A 24,037-nucleotide genomic window follows, 5' to 3' on the forward strand; every position below is an offset into this window, starting at 1 on the left:
ACATTTTAATTTTGTAGTTTGAATCATGTATGGTTTTGTGGAATGCTTTTCAGATGAGACTTTACTTGGGAAAGGAGCATCAATTTACAGATGAAAAACAGGATTTTTATTCGTGAATGATACTGAAAATAACTTTTAATCTTAAGAGAAATGTAATTGATTTGTTAGTTCATCTTTTTAAAATTTCTCTTTGCTTTGTGGGAAATGAAATATTTAAACAGATAAAGAAGTTTTGTCCTAAACATAATTTGTAATCTTTATTAGGCAAATAAATACTTATGAAGAGTATTTAATGGCAAAGTACTAGAGTTAACACTTATTAAACTCACTGTGTCACTTAACACTGTTAAGAACAGCAATAAGGATTATAACTTTTGGGAGGAAGGAAGTGTGATTCCTAATATTTTTAGATGATATGTAAATAAAATGAATAGTAAAATCAACTTTGAAATTATTGACACTAGTAAAAACATTCAATAAGGAGGCTAGGCAGAGAATAATATATGACAATTTTTTAAAATTAATTAATTTTTTATTATACTTTAAGTTCTAGGGTACATGTGCACAACATTCAGGCTTGTTACATATGTATACATGTGCCATGTTGGTGTGCTGCACCCATTAACTCATCATTTACATTAGGTATATCTCCTAATGCTATCCCTCCCCACTCCCCCACCCCATGACAGGCCCCGGTGTGTGATGTTCCCCATCCTGTGTCCAAGTGTTCTCATTGTTCAATTCTCACCTATGAGTGAGAACATACGGTGTTTGGTTTTCTGTCCTTGCAATAGTTTGCTCAGAATGATGGTTTCCAGCTTCATCCATGTCCCTACAAGGGACATAAACTCATCATTTTTTATGGCTGCATAGTATTCCATGGTGTATATGTGCCACATTTTCTTAATCCAGTCTATCATTGTTGGACATTTGGGTTGGTTCCAAGTCTTTGCTATTGTGAATAGTGCTGCAGTAAACATACGTGTGCATGTGTCTTTATAGCAGCATGATTTATAATCCTTTGGGTATATGCCCAGTAATGGGATCACTGGGTTAAATGGTATTTCTAGTTCTAGATCCTTGAAGAATCGCCTCACTGTCTTCCACCATGGTTAAACTAGTTTACACTCCCACCAAAAGTGTCAAAAAGTGTTCCTATTTCTCCACATCCTCTCCAGCACCTGTTGTTTCTTGACTTTTTAATGATTGCCATTCTAACTGGTGTTAAGATGGTATCTCATTGTGGTTTTGATTTGCATTTCTCTGATGGTCAGTGATGATGAGCATTTTTTCATGTGTCTGTTGGCTGCATAAATGTCTTCTTTTGAGAAGTGTCTGTTCATATCCTTCGCCCACTTTTTGATGGGGTTGTTTGATTTTTTCTTGTAAATTTGTTTAAGTTCTTTGTAGATTCTGGATATTAGCCTTTTGTCAGATGGGTAGATTGTAAAAATTTTCTCCCATTCTATAGATTGCGTGTTCACTCTGATGGTAGTTTCTTTTGCTGTGCAGAAGCTCTTTAATTTAATTAGATCTCATTTGTCAATTTTGGCTTTTGTTGCCATTGCTTTTGGTGTTTTAGTTATGAAGTCCTTCCCCATGCCTATGTCCTGAATGGTATTGCCTAGCTTTTCTTCTAGGGTTTTTATGGTTTTAGGTCTAACATTTAAGTCTTTAATCCATCTTGAATTAATTTTTGTATAAGGTGTAAGGAAGGGATCCAGTTTCAGCTTTCTACATATGGCTAGCCAGTTTTCCCAGCACCATTTATTAAAGAGGGAGTCCTTTCCCCATTTCTTGTTTTTGTCAGGTTTGTCAAAGATCAGATGGTTGTAGATGTGTGCTAATATTTCTGAGGGCTCTGTTCTGTTCCATTGGTCTATATCTCTGTTTTGGTAGCAGTACTATGCTGTTTTGGTTACTGTAGCCTTGTATTATAGTTTGAAGTCAGGTAGCGTGATGCCTCCAGCTTTGTTCTTTTTGCTTAGGATTGTCTTGGCAATGCGGGCTCTTTTTTGGTTTCATATGAAATTTAAAGTAGTTTTTTTCCAATTCTGTGAAGAAAGTCATTGGTAGCTTGATGGGGATGGCATTGAATCTATAAATTACCTTGGGGAGTATGGCCATTTTCACGATATTGCTTCTTCCTAACCATGAGCGTGGAATGTTCTTCCATTTGTTTGTGTTCTCTTTCATTTCATTGAGCAGTGGTTTGTAGTTCTCCTTGAAGAGGTCCTTCACATCCCTTGTAAGTTGGATTCCTAGGTATTTTATTCTCTTTGTAGCAATCATGATTGGGAGTTCCACTCATGATATGGCTGTTTGTCTCATATTGGTGTATAAGAATGCTTGTGATTTTTGCACATTGATTTTGTATCCTGAGACTTTGCTGAAGTTGCTTATCAGTTTAAGGAGATTTTGGGCTGAGACGATGGGGTTTTCTAAATATACAATCACGTCATCTGAAAATGGACAATTTGACTTCCTCTTTTCCTCATTGAATACCCTTTATTTCTTTCTCCTGCCTGATTGCCCTGGCCAGAACTTCCAACACTATGTTGAATAGGAGTGGTGAGAGAGGGCATCCCTGTCTTGGGCCAGTTTTCAAAGGGAATGCTTCCAGTTTTTGCCCATTTAGTATGATATTGGCTGTGGGTTTGTCATAAAGAGCTCTTATTGTTTTGATATACATCCCATCAATACCTAGTTTATTGAGAGTTTTTAGCATAAAGGGCTGTAGAATTTTGTCAAAGGCCTTTTCTGCATCTGTTGAGATAATCATGTGGTTTTTGTCTTTGGGTCTGTTTATATGATGGATTACGTTTATTGATTTGTGTACGTTGAACCAGCTTTGCATCCCAGGGATGAAGCCCACTTGATCATGGTGGATAAGCTATTTGATGTGCTGCTGGATTCAGTTTGCCAGTATTTTACTGAGGATTTTTGCATCAATGTTCATCAGGGATATTGGTCTAAAATTCTCTTTTTTTTAGTTGTGTCTTTGCCAGGCTTTGGTATCAGGATGATGCTGGCCTCATAAAATGACTTAGGGAGAGTTCCCTCTTTTTCTAATGATTGAAATAGTTTCAGAAGGAATGGTACCAGCTCCTCCTTGTACCTCTGGTAGAATTTGGTTGTGAATCCATCTGGTCCTGGACATTTTTTGGTTTGTAGGCTATTAATTATTGCCTCAATTTCAGAGCCTGTTATTGGTCTATTTTGGGATTCAACTTCTTCCTGGTTTAGTCTTGGGAGGGTGTATGTGTCGAGGAATTTATCCATTTCTTCTAGATTTTCTAGTTTATTTGCATAGAGGTGTTCATAGTATTCTCTGATGGTAGTTTGTATTTCCGTGGGATCGGTGGTGATATCCCCTTTATCATTTTTTGTTGCGCCTATTTGATTCTTCTCTCTTTTCTTCTTTATTAGTCTTGCTAGCTGTCTATCAATTTTGTTGATCTTTTCAAAAAACCAACTCCTGGATTCATTGATTTTTTTCAAGGGTTTTTTGTGTCTTTATCTCTTTCAGTTCTGCTCTGTTCTTAATTTTTTCTTGCCTTCTGCTAGCTTTTGTATGTGTTTGCTCTTGCTTCTGTAGTTCTTTTAATTGTGATGTTAGGGTGTCAATTTTAGATCTTTCCTGCTTTCTCTTGTGGGCATTTAGTGCTGCAAATTTCCCTCTACACGCTGGTTTGAATGTGTCCCAGAGAGTCTGGTATGTTGTGTCTTTGTTCTCATTGGTTTCAAAGAACATCTTTATTTCTGTCTTCATTTCGTTATGTACCCAGTAGTCATTCAGGAGCAGGTTGTTCAGTTTCCACGTAGTTGAGTGGTTTTGAATGAGTTTCTTAATCCTGAGTTCTAGTTTGAATGCACTGTGGTCTTAGAGACAGTTTGTTATAATTTCTGTTCTTTTATATTTGCTGAGGAGTGCTTCACTTCCAACTTTGTGGTCAGTTTTGGAGTAAGTGTGATGTGGTGCTGAGAAGAATGTATATTCTGTTGATTTTGCATGGAGAGTACCGTAGATGTCTATTAGGTCTGCTTGGTGCAGAGCTGAGTTCAATTCCTGGATATCCTTGTTAACTTTCGTCTAGTTGATCTGTCTAATGTTGACAGTGGGGTGTTAAAGTCTCCCATTATTATTGTGTGGGAGTCTAAGTCTCTTGGGTTAGACCCTAAGAATCATGGGTTTAGGGAAGCCGTATTGTGTAGGGTGATAAGGAAATGTTAAAAGGTTTCACTGGGGAGGGAGCCAAGATGGCCGAATAGGAACAGCTGCTGTCTACAGCTCCCAGCGTGAGCGACGCAGAAGACGGGTGATTTCTGCATTTCCATCTGAGGTACTGGGTTCATCTCACTAGGGAGTGCCAGACAGTGGGCGCAGGACAGTGGGTGCAGCACACCGTGCACCAGCCGAAGCAGGGCGAGGCATTGCCTTACTCGGGAAGCGCAAGGGGTCACGGAGTTCCCTTTCCTAGTCAAAGAAAGGGATGACAGGTGGCACCTGGAAAATCGGGTCACTCCCACCCCAATACTGCGCTTTTCCGACGGGCTTAAAAAACGGCGCACCAGGAGATTATAACCCGCATCTGGCTCAGAGGGTCCTGTGCCCATGGAGTCTCGCTTATTGCTAGCACAGCAGTCTGAGATCAAACTGCAAGGCGGCAGCGAGGCTAGGGGAGGGGCGGCTGCCATTGCCCAGGCTTGCTTAGGTAAACAAAGCAGCTGGGAAGCTTGAATTGGGTGGAGCCCACCACAGCTCAAGGAGGCCTGCCTGCCTCTGTAGGCTCCACCTATGGGGGCAGGGCACAGACAAACAAAAAGACAGCAGTAACCTCTGCAGACTTAAATGTCCCTGTCTGACAGCTTTGAAGAGAGCAGCGGTTCTCCCAGCACGCAGCTGGAGATCTGAGAATGGGCAGACTGCCTCCTCAAGTGGGTCCCTGACCCCTGAACCCTGAGCAGCCTAACTGGGAGGCACCCCCCAGTAGAGGCAGACTGACACCTCACACGGCCGGGTACTCCTCTGAGACAAAACTTCCAGAGGAACGATCAGACAGCAGCATTAACGGTTCACGAAAATCCGCTGTTCTGCAGCCACCGCTGCTGGTACCCAGGCAAACAGAGTCTGGAGTGGACCTCTAGCAAACTCCAGCAGACATGCAGCTGAGGGTCCTGTCTGTTAGAAGGAAAACTAACAAACAGAAAGGACATCCACACCAAAAACCCTTCTGTACATCACCATCATCAAAGACCAAAAGTAGATAAAACCACAAAGATGGGGAAAAAACAGAGCAGAAAAACTGGAAACTCTAAAAAGCAGAGCGCCTCTCCTCCTCCAAAGGAATGCAGTTCCTCACCAGCAACGGAACAAAGCTGGATGGAGAATGACTTTGACGAGTTGAGAGAAGAAGGCTTCAGACGATCAAACTACTCCGAGCTACAAGAGGAAATTCAAACCAAAGGCAAAGAAGTTGAAAACTTTGAAAAAAATTTAGACGAATGTATAGAATAACCAATACAGAGAAGTGCTTAAAGGAGGTGATGGAGCTGAAAGCCAAGGCTCGAGAACTACGTGAAGAATGCAGAAGCCTCAGGAGCCGATGCTATCAACTGGAAGAAAGGGTATCAGTGATTGAAGATCAAATGAATGAAATGAAGCAAGAAGGGAAGTTTAGAGAAAAAAGAATAAAAAGAAACGAACAAAGCCTCCAGGAAATATGGGACTATGTGAAAAGACCAAATCTACGTCTGATGGGTGTACCTGAAAATGACGGGGAGAATGGAACCAAGTTGGAAAACACTCTGCAGGATATTATCCAGGAGAACTTCCCCAATCTAGCAAGGCAGGCCAACATTCAGATTCAGGAAATACAGAGAACGCCACAAAGATGCCCCTCAAGAAGAGCAACTCTAAGACACATAATTGTCAGATTCACCAAAGTTGAAATGAAGGAAAAAATGTTAAGGGCAGCCAGAGAGAAAGGTTGGGTTACCCACAAAGGGAAGCCCATCAGACTAACAGTGGATCTCTCGGCAGAAACTCTACAAGCCAGAAGAGAGTGGGGGCCAATATTCAACATTCTTAAAGAAAAAAATTTTCAACCCAGAATTTCTTATCCAGCCAAACTAAGCTTCATAAGTGAAGGAGAAATAAAATCCTTTACAGAAAAGCAAATGCTGAGAGATTTTGTCACCACCAGGCCTGCCCTGCAAGAGCTCCTGAAGGAAGCACTAAACATGGAAAGGAACAACCGGTACCAGCCATTGCAAAATCATGCCAGACTGTAAAGACCATCGAGGCTAGGAAGAAACTGCATCAACTAATGAGCAAAATAACCAGCTAACATCATAATGACAGGATCAAATTCACACATAACAATATTAACTTTAAATGTAAATGGGCTAAGTGCTCCAATTAAAAGACACAGACTGGCAAATTGGATACAGTCAAGACCCATCAGTGTGCTGTATTCAGGAAACCCATCTCACGTGCAGAGACACACATAGGCTCAAAATAAAAGGATGGAGGAAGATCTACCAAGCAAATGGAAAATAAAAAAAGGCAGGGGTTGCAATCCTAGTCTCTGATAAAACAGACTTTAAACCAACAAAGATCAAAAGAGACAAAGAAGGCCATTACATAATGGTAAAAGGATCAATTCAACAAGAAGAGCTAACTATCCTAAATATATGTGCACCCAATACAGGAGCACGAAGATTCATAAAGCAAGTCCTGAGTGACCTACAAAGAGACTTAGACTCCCACACAATAATAATGGGAGACTTTAACACCCCACTGTCAACATTAGACAGATCAACTGGACAGAAAGTTAACAAGGATATCCAGGAATTGAACTCAGCTCTGCACCAAGCAGACCTAATAGACATCTACAGAACTCTCCACCCCAAATCAACAGAATATACATTTTTTTCAGCACCACACCTACTCCAAAATTGACCACATAGTTGGAAGTAAAGCTCTCCTCAGCAAATGTAAAAGATGAGAAATTATAACAAACTGTCTCTCAGACCACAGTGCAATCAAACTAGAACTCAGGATTAAGAAACTCACTCAAAACTGCTCAACTACATGGAAACTGAACAACCTGCTCCTGAATGACTGCTGGGTACATAACGAAATGAAGACAGAAATAAAGATGTTCTTTGAAACCAACGAGAACAAAGACACAACATACCAGAATCTCTGGGACACATTCAAAGCAGTGTGTAGAGGGAAATTTATAGCACTAAATGCCCACAAGAGAAAGCCGGAAAGATCCAAAATTGACACCCTAACATCACAATTAAAAGAACTAGAGAAGCAAGAGCAAACACATTCAAAAGCTAGCAGAAGGCAAGAAATAACTAAAATCAGAGCAGAACTGAAGGAAATAGAAACACAAAAAACCCTTCAAAAAATTAATGAATCCAGAAGCTGGTTTTTTGAAAAGATCAACAAAATTGATAGACAGCTAGCAAGACTAATAAAGAAGAAAAGAGAGAAGAATCAAATAGATGCAAGAAAAAATGATAAAGGGGATATCACCACCGATCCCACAGAAATACAAACTACCATCAGAGAATAGTATAAACACCTCTACGCAAATAAACTAGAAAATCTTGAAGAAATTGATAGATTCTTGGACACATACACCCACCCAAGACTAAACCAGGAAGAAGTTGACCTTCTGAATAGACCAATAACAGGCTCTGAAATTGTGGCAATAGTCAATAGCTTACCAACCAAAAAGTCCAGGATCAGTTGGATTCACAGCCGAATTCTATCAGAGGTACAAGGAGGAACTGGTACCATTCCTTCTGAAACTATTCCAGTCAATAGAAAAAGAGGGAATCCTCCCTAACTCATTTTATGAGGCCAGCATCATTCTGATACGAAAGCCGGGCAGAGACACAACCAAAAAAGAGAATTTTAGACCACTATCCTTGATGAAGATTGATGCAAAAATCCTCAGTAAAATACTGGCAAACTGAATCCAGCAGCACATCAAAAAGCTTATCCACCATGATCAAGTGGGCTTCATCCCTGGGATGCAAGGCTGTTTCAATATATGCAAATCAATAAATGTAATCCATCATATAAACAGAACCAAAGACAAAAACCACATGATTATCTCAATAGATGCAGAAAAGGCCTTTGACAAAATTCAACAACCCTTCATGCTAAAAACTCTCAATAAATTAGGTATTGATGGGACGTGTCTCAAAATAATAAGAGCTCTTTATGACAAACCCACAGCCAATATCATACTAAATGGGCAAAAACTGGAAGCATTCCCTTTGAAAACTGGCCCAAGACAGGGATGCCCTCTCTCACCACTCCTATTCAACATAGTGTTGGAAGTTCTGGCCAGGGCAATTAGGCAGGAGAAGGAAATAAAGGGTATTCAGTTAGGAAAAGAGGAAGTCAAATTGTCCCTGTTTGCAGACAACATGATTGTATATCTAGAAAACCCCATCGTCTCAGCCCAAAATCTCCTTAAACTGATAAGCAACTTCAGCAAAGTCTCAGGATACAAAATCAATGTACAAAAATCACAAGCATTCTTATACACCAATAACAGACAAACAGAGAGCCAAATAATGAGTGAACTCCCATTCACAATTGCTTCAAAGAGAATAAAATACCTAGGAATCCAACTTACAAGGGATGTGAAGGACCTCTTCAAGGAGAGCTACAAACCACTGCTCAACAAAATAAAAGAGGATACAAACAAATGGAAGAACATTCCATGCTCATGGGTAGGAAGAATCAATATCGTGAAAATGGCCATACTCCCCAAGGTAATTTATAGATTCAATGCCATCCCCATCAAGCTACCAATGACTTTCTTCACAGAATTGGAAAAAACTACTTTAAAGTTCATATGGAACCAAAAAAGAGCCTGCATCGCCAAGTCAATCCTAAGCCAAAAGAACAAAGCTGGAGACATCATGCTACCTGACTTCAAACTATACTACAAGGCTACAGTAACCAAAACAGTATGGTACTGGTACCAAAACAGAGATATAGATCAATAGAACAGAACAGAGCACTCTGAAATAATGCCGCATATCTATGACTATCTGATCTTTGACAAACCTGAGAAAAACAAGCAACGCGGAAAGGATTCCCTGTTTAATAAATGGTGCTGGGAAAACTGGCTAGCCATATGTAGAAAGCTGAAACTGGGTCCCTTCCTTACCCATTACACAAAAATTAATTCAAGATGGATTAAAGACTTAAACGTTAGACCTAAAATCATAGAAACCCTATAGGAAAACCTAGGCATTAGCATTCAGGACATAGGCATGGGCAAGGACTTCATGTCTGAAACACCAAAAGCAATGGCAAGAAAAGCCAAAATTGACAAATGGGATCTAATTAAACTAAAGAGCTCCTACACAGCAAAAGAAACTACCGTCAGAGTGAACAGGCAACCTACACAATGGGAGAAAAGTTTTGCAACCTACTCATCTGACAAAGGGCTAATATCCAGAATCTACAATGAACTCAAACAAATTTACAAGAAAAAAACAAACAACCCCATCAAAAACGGGGCAAAGGACATGAACAGACACTTCTGAAAAGTAGACATTTATGCAGCCAAAAAAACACATGAAAAAATGCTCACCGTCACTGGCCATCAGAGAAATGCAAATCAAAATCACAATGAGATACCATCTCACACCAGTTAGAATGGCAATCATTAAAAAGTCAGGAAACAACAGGTGCTGGAGAGGATGTGGAGAAATAGGAACACTTTTACACTGTTGGTGGGACTGTAAACTAGTTCAACCCTTGTGGAAGTCAGTGTGGCGATTCCTCAGGAATCTAGTACTAGAAATACCATTTGACCCAGCCATCCCATTACTGGGTATATACCGAAAGGACTATAAATCATTCTACTATACAGACACATGCACACGTATGTTTATTGTGGCACTATTCAGAATAGCAAAGACTTGGAACCAACCCAAATGTCCAACAATGATAGACTGGATTAAGAAAATGTGGCAGATATACACCATGGAATAGTATGCAGCCATAAAAAATGATGAGTTCATGTCCTTTGTAGGGACATGGATGAAATTGGAAATCATCATTCTCAGTAAACTATCGCAAGAACAACAAACGAAACACCGCATATTCTCACTCATAGGTGGGAATTGAACAATGAGAACACATGGACACAGGGAAGGGGAACATCACACTCTGGGGACTGTTGTGGGGTGGGGAGAGGGGGGCGGGATAGCTTTAGGAGATACACCTAATGCTAAATGATGAGTTAATGGGTGCAGCGCACCAGCATGGCACATGTTTACATATGTAACTAACCTGCATATTGTGTACATGTACCCTAAAACTTAAAGTATAATAATAAAACAAAAGAAAGCAGAACCCAAACACACAAAAAAAAGAAAAATAATTTAAATTTTTTTTAACTTTTAAAAAAATTAAAGATATAATTTGAATAATAAAAAAAGTTTCTTTGGAAAATTTTTAAACATTACAATCTATAGGTCTTTTCTCTGTATTTCTTTTATTTCTACAAAGGGATATCTGCTAGTTTCAGGTTTGATGGTTAGAAAATGGAAGAAGGAAATGGAGGAAGAATCTGGTTATGATGCTGTTTAATGTGCAGACATCCCCCTGATTTTGGTCTGGTGCACCCCTCTTCCTCTCTCTCCATGTGTATTTCTGTGTTCAGCTTCTGGTTCAGATTTATATTCTTCAGATAATAAACCTTTGTGTGAGGGCTAGGGTAGGGTATTTGTTTGGCTACTTGGGGTAAGGGTGGATGCCTTGAAGTCTAACTTCTTACAGCGATGAGTAAAAAAAACACTTTATAGAGATGTAATTTGCATATTATAAATTTGTCCATTTGAAGTGTACAATTCAGTGGTTTTTAGTGTATTCACAGCATTGTGCAACCATTACTATAATCCATTTTGGAACATTTTCATCACACAATAAGAAACCCTGCTCATTAGCCATCACTTTCCTATTCCCCTTTCCTCTCATCCCTAAGCAACCACTACTTTCTGTCTTTATAGATTTGCCTATTCTAGACATTCCTTACAAGTGGAACTACAATATATGGTCTTTTCTGACTGACTTCTTTCACTTAGCATAATGTTTTCAAGGTTTGTCCATGTTGCAGCATGTATTAGTGCTTCATTCTTTTTTATGCCTGAATGATATTCTGTTGTGTAATATATATTTTGTGTCTCTGTCCATCAGTTGATGGACGTTTGTGTTTGTATTTGTCAGGGTTCTCTAAAGGGACAGAACTAATAGTATATATGTATATGTGAAGGGGAGTTTGTTAGGAGAATTGACTTACACTATCACAAGTTGAAGTTCCACAATAGGCCATCTGCAAGCTGAGGAGCAAGGAAGTCAGTCGAAGTCTCAAAATCTCAAAAGTAGATAAGCCAGCAGTGCAGCCTTCAGTCTGTGGTCGAAGGCCTGAGAGCCCCTTTTTATCATTTTATGTGCTTATTAGCCATTCATATATCTTCTTTGGAGAAATAGCTATTTACACCCTTGTCCTTTTTAAAAATGGATTGTTTGTACTGTATATATATATAAATCACAGTGTAAGTCCAAGAGTCTAAAAATTGAAGAACTTGGAGTCTGATGTTCCAGGGCAGGAAGCATCCAGCACAGAGAAAGATGAAGGCTGGAACACTCAGCAAGTCTCCCCATTCCACTTTCTTCTGCCTGCTTTATTCTAGCCATGCTGGCAGCTGATTAGATGGTGCCCACCCAGACTGAGGGTAGGCTGCCTCTCCCACTGCACTGACTCAAATGTTAATTTCCTTTGGTAACACCCTCACAGACACACCTAGGAACATTACATCCTTTAATCCAATCAAGTTGACACTCGGTATTAACCATCACAGTGTTGTTTCCACTCTTTCAGCCATAATGAATAATGCCACCATGAACATTCGTGTACAGGTTTTTGTGTGGATATGTTTTCAGTTGTCTTTATGATATATCTAGGAGAGGAATTGCTGGGTCACATGGTAACTATATGGTTAACATTTTGAGGAACTGTCAGTTTGTTTTGTACAGTGGCAGCATTTTACATTCCCACCAGCAAGGTATAAGGGTTCTAGTTTCTCTAGATCCTCACCAACAGCTGTTATTGTCACTCTTTTATATTACAACCACTGTAGTAGGTGTGAAATGGTACCTTATTGTGGTTTTGATTTGCATTTCTCTGATGATTGATGATGTTGAATATCATTTTATGTGCTTATTAGGCATTCATGTATCTTCTTTGGAGAAATAGCTATTTAGACCCTTAGACCCTTCTCTTTTTTAAAAATGGATTATTTGTACTATGTATATATATATATATCTATAAGATGCTAACGATGGAGGAAACTGGGTATGGAGTAGGTAGATGGACTTACCAACAGAAATGCCAAATATGAACTTGGCAAGGATAAACTTCCTCATACTCTAACCACACATGGGTTATTTTTTACAAGATTACAGAAGGAATAAAAATATGAAATTATATTTGAAATAGTATTTTAACATATTGTCTTGTGCTGAACATCTTTTTAGGCCAATAAATTCAGGAATTCATTATATTTTATATCATCATTTTTAATACTATGGTTTGTAGATGGCTTACTAAAAAAGGATTAAGGGCCAGGAGCTGTGGCTCATGCCTGTAATCCCAGCACTTTGGGAGACAGAGGTGGGCAGATCACTTGAGACCAGGAGTTCAAGACCAGCCTTGGCAACATGGTGAAATATCATCCCTACAAAAAATACAAAACTTAGCCAAACATGGTGAAATGTGCCTGTAGTCCCAGCTGCTTGGGAGGCTGAGGTGGGAGGATCACTTGAGCCTGGGGAGTTTGGGCCTGCAGTGAGCTGTGATCGTGCTGCTGTACTCTAGCCTGGGCAACAAAGTGAGACCCTGCCTCAAAAAAAAAAAAAAAAAAAAAAGGTTTAGGATAGAGTTAATGTTCTGAATATTAGAATTTAAAAGATCACTTAGAAGTCACTTAAGGATGCTAGAAAACTCTATCATCACTAAAAACATTTTATTAATTGTGTTATAGTTGTGAGGCTGTACTATGTAATAACGAATTTTTTTTTGTTTTTAGGGTTCTTGGTAAGGCAGTTTTGACTCAGTTAAGAAAATATCGGCTGGGCGTGGTGGCTCATGCCTGTAATCCCAGCACTTTGGGAGGCTGAGGTGGGCCTATCACTTGAGGTCAGGAGTTTGAGACCAGCCTGGCCAACATGGTGAAACCCCATCTCTATTAAAAATACAAAAATTAGCCAGGCATGGTGGCGCTCGCCTGTAATCCTAGCTGCTCTGGAGGCTGAGACAGCAAAATCACTTGAACCTGGGAGGTGGAGGCTGCACTGAGCCGAGATTGTGCCACTGCACTCCAGCCTGGGCAACAGAGCAAGACTCTATCTCAAAAACAAAACAAAAGAAAAAGTAATAAAATGCACACAAAAAAGAAAATATCTAAACCTAAACTTTAAGGTGTGGTTGTGCACAACCCGGTATTGACTTTTTTCTGTAAAATACTTAATTTCCTCAATATCTGTTTTTATTGGTTGATGTTATAGGTATAATATTATTATAGACTGGTTTTATTTTTACTTTTTAAAATTTTTTTGTTTATTTTATTATTATTATTATTATACTTTAAGTTTTAGGGTACATGTGCACAATATGCCGGTTAGTTACATATGTATACATGTGCCATGCTGGTGTGCTGCACCCATTAACTCGTCATTTAGCATTAGGTGTATCTCCTCATGCTATCCCTCCCCCCTCCCCCCACCCCACAACAGTCCCCAGAGTGTGATGTTCCCCTTCCTGTGTCCATGTGATCTCATTGTTCAGTTCCCATCTATGAGTGAGAACATGCGGTGTTTGGTTTTCTGTCCTTGCGATAGTTTACTGAGAATGATGATTTCCAATTTCATCCATGTCCCTACAAAGGACATGAACTCATCATTTTTTATGGCTGCATAGTATTCCATGGTGTATATGTGCCACATTTTCTTAATCCAGTCTATCCTTGTTGGACATTTGGGTTGGTTCCAAGTCTTTGCTATTGTGAATAGTGCCGCAATAAACATACGTGTGCATGTGTCTTTATAACAGCATGATTTATAGTCCTTTGGGTATATACCCAGTAATGGGATGGCTGGGTCAAATGGTATTTCTAGTTCTAGATCCCTGAGGAATCACCACACTGACTTCCACAATATTTTTACTTTATGTTTTTTTCTTTACTGCTGTGTAAATACTTTTGATAATACCAGGTCTCTGCTTTTGGAGAACTTGAAGCTTTGAAGGTAGTCTAGATAGTCTTTATTTTTCTTCTATTTGTAAGAATTTTACAAGTGGAGAGCTTTAGTCTTCTAAGTTACCTATGATTTCTCATATTTAGATTCTTTTTAAAAGCTTTGCTTTATATTATATATCATGTGTTGTATATTAGTTAGTATATTTTATGTTGGCTGTTTGACCACATAGTGACATAATGAACAAGAAGTTAAATTTCTGGAGAGCATTTTATGTTAGTTTTACACTCAATTGCGGAGACAATCACTACCAGTAATACTAGGTACTTAAGTAATTGTTAGTGGTATTTTTAAGAGAATTAAGGTAAGATGGGATAATAATAAAGAAGAAGTTGTTAAAATTTTAATTTAATAAAGTACATTATTTAATATCAGCAATATCAAACTAAAGCAACTAATAAAATAGACATTTAGCCTAATGAATGTTTTAAATTCTAGTGAAGCTTTTTAACAGTTGCATTTCTTGAAAGGTGATTTTTTTATGTGCCTGAGCCAAAGAAGTTTTTATATATATGAAACATAAATATAAAAGAATTTAAAAATCTTATAAGCTTTATATCACTGTGTCTTAATCATCTTAACATGGATCAATGCTTTCTTAGATTAAAAAAAAACAAACAAACTCCCAATCCAATTTTATAAATGCAGTACTGGATACCATAGAATCAAGGGAAAAGCAAACTGGAAAAAGAAATATCCATGGCTTTTATAAACCTCTTTACAACTAGGGGAGTTTATTATCATGGGAAATAAGCTTAACTCAATAAGAAAAGAGAAAAGAGAAGATGCAAACCTAATTCTGAGAGAACTGAAGAATCTTCTGAAGATTATGGTAGAGAGAGAACAGTCTTTGCAAATAAATTCTGAATTGCTTCTGTCAGTCATATTCTATATTATAGTAACATAAAAAAGGGTAAAAGGTAGCATCTTTCTCTAAATGCGTACTATCTTCAACTGAAAATGGAAAAGTTGTATTTTACCTTTCATAATTGTTGATAAAGACCACCTTGTATGATTCATCTTTTTAAAGCCATCATGTGTTTGTAGGAATCATTTTCAAAGGTCCATTTGCATAGATTACTAACTATAAAATAGGTAAATGATGAAATCACCTGTGTTATACAGTCATAGGTATTACACATTTAAATGCAGCATTTTATGTTTATAATAAATTTTAAGATTGGAACTTCAGTTAAAAATTTGGTAAATACTCAAGTTTTTTTTGCCAGAAAAGGTAGAGATAATTTTTAAAGAAGGTAAATCAGTTTATTATCATGTTAATCAGAATTTGCGACCACAAATTCTGTTCCTGATATTTCTTATTTTTATTATCTGTGGGTTTTTTGATTATACCTAGAAGTAATAAAACTTTTTCTTCATTAAACTCTTTTATAATCTGAGTGGTATACTTCATTTCTTGCTGAATAAAAAAATTACAGTGTTCTCCAGTTTATTTCTATTGTCAGCCTATTGTCCTCATATATCCCTTCTGAAACCGTTAAGGCTCTGTTACCATCCTCAGTGACTTTAACTTTGAATTTTCTACCTTCAGAACTGCATAGTTAATCATGATCAAGATGACTGGCACAGAGAACTCTGAATCTTTCTATGTTCTGCTATGCTTTATATGAGCCTGTTTATGTAAAATAATCTAGGGGATTCTGGAAAACAAATATGTTTTGGCCATTAATAAAACAGTTACAGATGAATTGTAGTTCAGAGAAGTAAGTAGAAGGAATATCCTTTAGCGACAAATGAATTTTTGTCTACAACACAGGTCTTTTGCTTACTCCTAATGGAAATGCTTATAGATGTGTCAGGACTCGTTTTGGCCTTTGGGCCAAGGACCTAGTATGGCATCTGGCATATAGTAGGTACTCTATAAATGTTCCATTCTGCTTTTTAGTTGACCTATATAGTAAAATAAGTATCAATGAGATCATCATGAAAAGTTATAAACCTATTCATTTGTTTTTAATAATCTTTTGTTTTTATGCAGTCACATTTGTTTAATGGGATTGAATATAAATGTAAAATGTTTGGACTTCTATGAGGGTACAATAAAGTGGATAGGACTTCCTGACCAATTCACTTCCAAGACCAGTTGGACTTCCTTCCTCTTCTCTTTTACATGGCAGTTCCCGTGTTCTGAGTCACAAAGCAGCATTAATTTTGTCTCTGAGTTGTTTTTCTAATGTACTGTGCTGGCCACATGGAAAGTAGGAGAGCTACTTAAAAAAAAACACCACCTTCAAATTAGAATGCCTTATTAAGATTTAAAATATTATGTATCATACGAGGCCCCTTATGTAAAATATATCATGTTATTTTAAAAGTCAAATGAGAACATACACGAGAGTTCTTTGAAAACTGTAGCATATTAATATTTAACTCTAGGCATAATCTCCTCAGTGACATTAATGTAAATACACTCTGTCATGTAGAAGTGACATTAGAAATATAAATGCTTACATTTAAAAAGCCAACATTGAAGGTCAGACTAATTGAATAATATTATTGTTTCTTAACATGTTTGATTAGAACAAGGATGATAAATAGTAAAGGGCTTATAGACAGTTCTTAATTATGACCCTTCAATATATGACTCTAGCGATTAAGTGATTTAATACTGTGATGCCTGTTTTACAAATACTTATCAAATACTTGGAGACTCTGACCCTCTGAGGCATCTTTTTTGGTAATAAAAATCCTTTGAGACCTTCTGTTTAAGGGCTCAAAAGATAGTATTAACAAGTGTGCCCCCCTTCCCTGCCCAGGTAAAGAATAAGTGTTATATTTAAATATTAACATGCATATAATAAAATATTAACAGCTATTAAAATGTAACAAAATAAAATACACTTATCATTAAAATAAGCATCGTAGAATTAATCAGTCTATGATGATTCAGTCCCTTGGAATCACCTTTTTGTAGATGGATTATTACTATATTTATTACTTATGAAAACATCTATTAAAGGGAATTATCAGGTGATAAAATCTGGAAAAATAATCATTTTCTATTTATACAAGTTATTGATACGTTTGGGGTAAACTTTGTGCAACTAATGAGGAAACTAACATACAACACACTCCTGAGGAAATCATTAACTAGTATGTACTCATGATAATTCATCTCATTTTTCTTGATGTCTATTTTGGTGGACTAAATTTCATATCTCAGTTTTTCTTCTTGACTAATTGTTTTAAGTTCAAATCCTCTAAGCTGAATATATTTGGGGATAACAGAATGTAGTAGAAACTGTTTTGTTTACTCAATCTTTCAGCACATTCATTGTACACATATGTTTTCATAACTTTTGTGAAACTTTTGGAAGAGGCCCATGGAAACCATAGAACCAAATGTGACGTGGAGAACATCTGGGTATGTTTGGTTAGTTCTGCTGCTGAATTGGAGTCTTCAGCTCATTCCTGGTTTATAATAAAGTAACATGTATCAAAGGGTTGGATAGGAGACATTCTTCTCTATATTGCCCTCTTGAAAGACTGAAAACCCCCTTTTCTTAAGTGTACTAGATGATCTAATTGGGCTTAATATGATTTAGTGAGATATAAATTACACCAAAAAAGAGGTAGAGTAACACCTACTATTTACTAAAATAAAAATCTCTTGGCAGTACATTGCTGTAGGAAAGGACATGGCAGTCAGCTTATAAATGACAAAATATGTGATAACTTTGTGTTACATACAGAACTGTTGTTTGGCTAGGCGTAGTGGCTCACGCCTGTAATCCCAGCACTTTGGGAGGCCAAGGTGGGCGGATCACTTGAGGTCAAGAGTCCGAGATCAGCCTGGCCAACATGGTGAAACCCCATCTCTACCAAAAATACAAAAAGTAGCTGGTCATGGTGGTGTGTGCTTGTGGTCCCAGCTACTCAGGAGGCTGAGGCAGGACAATTGCTTGAAACCAGGAGGTGGTTGCAGTGAGCTGAGATTGCACCACTGTACTCTAGCCTGGGAGACAGAGTGAGACTCTGTCTCAAAAACAAAAAAAAAGGACTGTTGTTCGTAGTGTATAGTACATAATACAGTGTAATACCTGTATTATAGGCAAAGCTGTATATAGTTAAATTAACCTGTAGTATATATATGAACATATATGTGTGTGTGTATATATATACACATATGTATACACGTATATATATATATACACGTGTGTGTGTGTATATATATATATATATATATATATATATATATATATATATGCATTTTAACCAGAATTTTGTTCCGCTTTCTGCCCTTTCTTTGTTGATTACATTAGGATTGGATGCCTATGAAACAGTTTATGAATGTTACACTAGTTCTCCTAGGTGGTATTGGAAAAAATTTTTTTGAGCAGCATGTTGATGTTCCTCTAGCACCCTCTGCTGGATTTGAGAATTAATTCATTGGACTAGAAGATTTAAAAAAATTATTAAGAAGGCTTAAATTTCATTATGTCTATCAACAAACCCTACTCTTGGAAGGAGTTTGTTTAAAGATTTGAAGATTTTTTGCTGTCCTTACTGAGTAATTGATAGTTTCAGTAATAATAAGCACCTTATAATTTTCTGACATTTCATTTAAAATGAGAAGTTGTGAAAATAAAGACATGATCTCCAGTTTATTATTTCAACCCCCTGTGTTTTGCTCTAAGCAGGAAAAACAGAACCTCTTTTTGATTTTTGGAGTGAAAACTAGATCATTAATTAACTAATTAATATATATACAAGAAGTGAAAACTTGAATTTTCGATTCATTATAGAATCACTGAATATTCTGCATTTAACAAAATATATGACTATCATTTTGATAAAGAAGCATATATGCTTTTTGGAATCTGAGAAAATATTTTAAAATTGTTAGCCTTGTTTTTTTTCTCTCTGTGCCCTTTATTTGCTTTTTTTTTAAAAAAATTTATTTCCATAGGTTTTTGGGAAACAGGAGGTGTTTGGTTACATGAGTAAGTTCTTTAGTTGTGGTTTGTGAGATTTTGGTCCTTTGCTAGCTTTTAAAATCATTTATTCTCAATCCTATGGGCTATTTCCTTGTGACTGGCTAGACTTTTTTTTGACTTACAGAAACTAAAATGAGTATACTAGGTACTGAGAAAACTGACTTCAGTTCTTTAAGGGCAAGAACCTTATCCTTTATACTTTCTTAAAGAAAAAATTAGCATTGGGCCCATCTGGGATAATGCTCATTCTGGTGTGGGCTAAACATAATAATTTCTCTGCTACAGTATGCATCATGCTTTATACCTACAACCTCTGGGGGACCCTTGTTCTAAGGCTTCAAAGTCAGCATTTAGAAATAACTTTTTTTCCACAATGAGAATCAGAAGTTTAATTTAGGTGGCTGCCACTTCTTGACATTCCAATCAGGGATTCTTTATTTTTCAATTGAGATATACTTCACATATCATAAAACTCACCCTTTAAAAGTATACAATTCAATGCTTTTAATATATTCACTATACTGTGCAACTATTACCACTATCTAATTCCAGAGCGTTTTCATCACCCCACTAAGAAATTTCATATACATTAGCAGCTACTGCCCTTTTCGTTCTCTCCTTCTTCCCTATCCTCCTGCAACCACTTAATATACTTTTTGTCTCTGGATTTGCCTATTCTGGACAATTCTTATCAATGAAATCATACAGCATGTGGTCTTTTGTATTTGACTTCTTTTACTTTTTTTATATATGCTTTCAAGGTTAATCCATGGTATCACATTTATTGGTACTTCATTCCATTTTCTTGCTGGATAATATTCCATTCTATGGATTCACAACATCTTGTTTATTCATTCATTGGTTGATGGACATTTGGGTGCATTCCATCTTTGGCTGTTATAAAAAATGGTGCTATAAACTTTTGTGCATAATTTTTTGAATCTGTTTTCATTTCTCTTGGGCAAATATATAGGAATGTAATTGCTGGGTCATATGGTAACTCTATGTTTAATTTTTTGAGCAGCTACCAAGCTGTTTTCCACAGCAGCCAAACCATTTTACATTCCTATCAGTAATGTATGAGGTTTCTAGTTTTTCCAATTTTCTTCCAGTATTTTCTGTTATTTAAATTATAGCCATCTGGTTTTGGTCCAAGATGGCCGAATAGGAACAGCTCCAGTCTACAGCACCCAGCGTGAGTGATGCAGAAGATGGGTGATTTCTGTATTTCCAACTGAGGTACTGGGTTCATCTCACTGGGGCTTGTCAGATGGTGGGTGCAGGACAGTGGGTGCAGCCCAGTGAGCGTGAGCCTAAGCAGGGTGAGGCATCGTCTCACCCGGGAAGTGCAAGGGGTCAGGGAATTCCCTTTCCTAGCTAAGGGAAGCTGTGACAGATGGCACCTGGAAAATCGGGTCACTCCCACCCTAATACTGCACTTTTCCAGTGGTCTTAGCAAACGGAACACCAGGAGATTATATCCCGCACCTGGCTCGGAGAGTCCCATGCCCACGGAGCCTCGCTTATTGCTAGCACAGCAGTCTGAGATCCAACTGCAAGGCAGCAGCGAGGCTGGGGGAGGAGCGCCCACCATTGATGAGGCTTGAGTAGGTAAACAAAGTGGCAGGGAAGCTCAAACTGGGTGGAGCCCACCGCAGCCCAAGGAGGCCTGCCTGCCTCTGTAGACTCCACCTCTGGGGGCAGGGCATAGCCAAACAAAAGGCAGCAGAAACCTCTGCAGACTTAAATGTCCCTGTCTGACAGCTTTGAAGAGAGTAGTGGTTCTCCCAGCATGGAGTTTGAGATCTGAGAACAAACACACTACCTCTTCAAGAGGGTCCCTGACCCCTGAGTAGCCTACCTGGGAGGCATCCCCTAGTAGGGGCAGACTGATGCCTCACACGGCTGGGTACCCCTCTGTGACGAAGCTTCCAGAGGAACGATCAGGCAGCAACATTGGCTGTTCAGCAATATTTGCTGTTCTGCAGCTTCCGCTGCTGATATCCAGGCACACAGGGTCTGGAGTGGACCTCCAGCAAACTCCAACAGACCTGCAGCTGAGGGTCCTGTTAGAAGGAGAACTAACAAACAGAAAGGACATTCACACCAAAACCCCATCTGTATGTCACCATCATCAAAGACCAAAGGTAGATAAAACCACAAAGATGGGGAAAAAACAGAGCAGAAAAGCTGAAAATTCTAAAAATCAGAGCTCTTCTACCTCTCCAAAGGAACTCAGCTCCTCCCCAGCAACAGAACAAAGCTGGACAGAGAATGACTTTGAGGAGTTGAGAGAAGAAGGCTTTAGATGATCGGTAATAACAAACTGCTCTGAGCTAAAGGAGGATGTTCGAGCCCATTGTGAAGAAGCTAAAAATGTTGAAAAAAGGTTGGACGAATGGCTAACTAGAATAAACAGTGTAGAGAAGTCCTTAAATAACCTGACTGAGCTGAAAACCATGGCACGAGAACTACGTGATGCATGCACAAGGTTCAGTAGCCGATTTGAACAAGTGAAAGAAAGGGTATCAGTGATTGAAGATCAGATGAATGAAATGAAGTGATAAGAGAAGTTTAGAGAAAAAAGAGTAAAAAGAAACGAACGGAACGTCCAAGAAATATGGGACTATGTGAAAAGACCACATCTACGTCTGATTGGTGTACCTGAAAGTGACAGGGAGAATGGAACCGAGTTGGAAAACACTCTTCAGGATATTATCCAGGAGAATTTCCCCAACCTAGTGAGGCAGGCCAACATTCAAATTCAGGAAATACAGAGAACGCCACAAAGATACTCCTCGAGAAGAGCAATTCCAAGACACATAATTGTCAGATTCACCAAAGTTGAAATGAAGATAAAAATGTTAAGGGCAACCAGAGAGAAAGGTCGGGTTACCCACAAAGGGAAGCCCATCAGACTAACAGTGGATCTCTCAGCAGAAACTCTACAAGCCAGAAGAGAGTGGGGGCCAATATTCAACATGCTTAAAGAAAAGAATTTTCAACCCAGAATTTCTTATCCAGCCAAACTAAGCTTCATAAGTGAAGGAGAAATAAAATCCTTTACAGACAAGCAAATGCTGAGAGATTTTGTCACCACCAGGCCTGCCTTACAAGAGCTCCTGAAGGAAGCAATAAACATGGAAAGGAAAAACTGATACGAGCCCCTGCAAAAATATGCCAAATTGTAAAGACCATCCATGCTAGGAAGGAAGAAACTGCATCAACTAATGAGCAAAATAACCAGCTAACATCATAATGACAGGATCAAATTCACACATAACAATATTAACTTTAAATGTAAATGGGCTAAATGCTCCAATTAAAAGACACAGACTGGCAAATTGGATAAAGATTCAAGACCCATCAGTGTGCTGTATTCAGGAGACCCATCTCATGTGCAGAGACACACATAGCCTTAAAATGAAGGGATGGAGGAAGATCTACCAAGAAAATGGAAAAGAAAAAAAGTGGGGGTTGTAATCTTAGTCTCTGATAAAGCTGACTTTAAACCAACAAAGATCAAAAGAGACAAAGAAGGCTATTACATAATGGTAAAGGGATCAATTCAACAAGAAGAGCTAACTATCCTAAATATATATGCACCCAATACAGGAGCACTCAGATTCATAAAACAAATCCTTAGAGACCTACAAAAAGACTTAGACTCCCACACAATAATAATGGGAGACTTTAACACCTCACTGTCAACATTAGACAGATCAACTGGACAGAAAGTTAACAAGGATATCCAGGAATTGAACTCAGCTCTGCACCAAGTGGACCTAATAGACATCTACAGAACTCTCCACCCCAAATCAACAGAATATACATTCTTCTCAGCACCACATTGCACTTATTCCAAAATTGACCACATAGTTGGAAGTAAAGCACTCCTCAGCAAATGCAAAAGAACAGAAATTTTGACAAAGTGTCTCTTAGACCACAGTGCAATCAAACTAGAACTCAGGATTAAGAAACTCACTCAAAACCGCTCAACTACATGGAAGCTGAACAACCTGCTCCTGAATGACTGCTGGGTACATAACAAAATGAAGGCAGAAATAAAGATGTTCTTTGAAACCAACGAGAACAAAGACACAACATACCAGAATCTCTGGGACACATTCAAAGCAGTGTGTAGAGGGAAATATATAGCACTAAATGCCCACAAGAGAAAGCAGGAAAGATCTAAAATCAACACCCTAACATCACAATTAAAAGAATTACAGAAGCAAGAGCAAACACATTCAAAAGCTAGCAGAAGGCAAGACATAACTAAGAGCAGAACTGAAGGAGATAGAGACACAAAAAACCCTTCAAAAAATCAATGAATTTAGCAGCTGGTTTTTTTAAAAGATCAACAAAATTGCTAGACCACTAGCAAGACTAATAAAGAAGAAAAGAGAGAAGAATCAAATAGACACAATAAAAAATGATAAAGGGGATATCACCACCGATTCCACAGAAATAGAGACTACCATCAGAGAATACTATAAACACCTCTATACAAATAAACTAGAAAATCTAGAAGAAATGCATAAATTCCTGGACACATACACTCTCCCAAGACTAAACCAGGAAGAGGTTGAATCCCAAAATACACCAGTAACAGGCTCTGAAATTGAGGCAATAATCAATAGCCTAACCAACCAAAAAAAGTCCAGGACCAGACGATTCACAGCCGAATTCTGCCAGAGGTACAAGGAGGAGT

The 24,037-nt window shown here is 38.1% G+C and overlaps 1 protein-coding gene across 35 annotated transcripts in view; it reads left to right on the plus strand.

The window, feature by feature from the left end:
* Nucleotides 1-24,037, plus strand: part of CCDC171 (coiled-coil domain containing 171) — a 556,042-nt gene that overhangs the window by 70,908 nt on the left and 461,097 nt on the right. The gene's annotated exons all lie outside the window — the stretch shown is intronic.

The sequence above is a fragment of the Homo sapiens genome, chromosome 9, assembly GCF_000001405.40.
Source record: "Homo sapiens chromosome 9, GRCh38.p14 Primary Assembly".
NCBI lineage: Eukaryota > Metazoa > Chordata > Mammalia > Primates > Hominidae > Homo > Homo sapiens.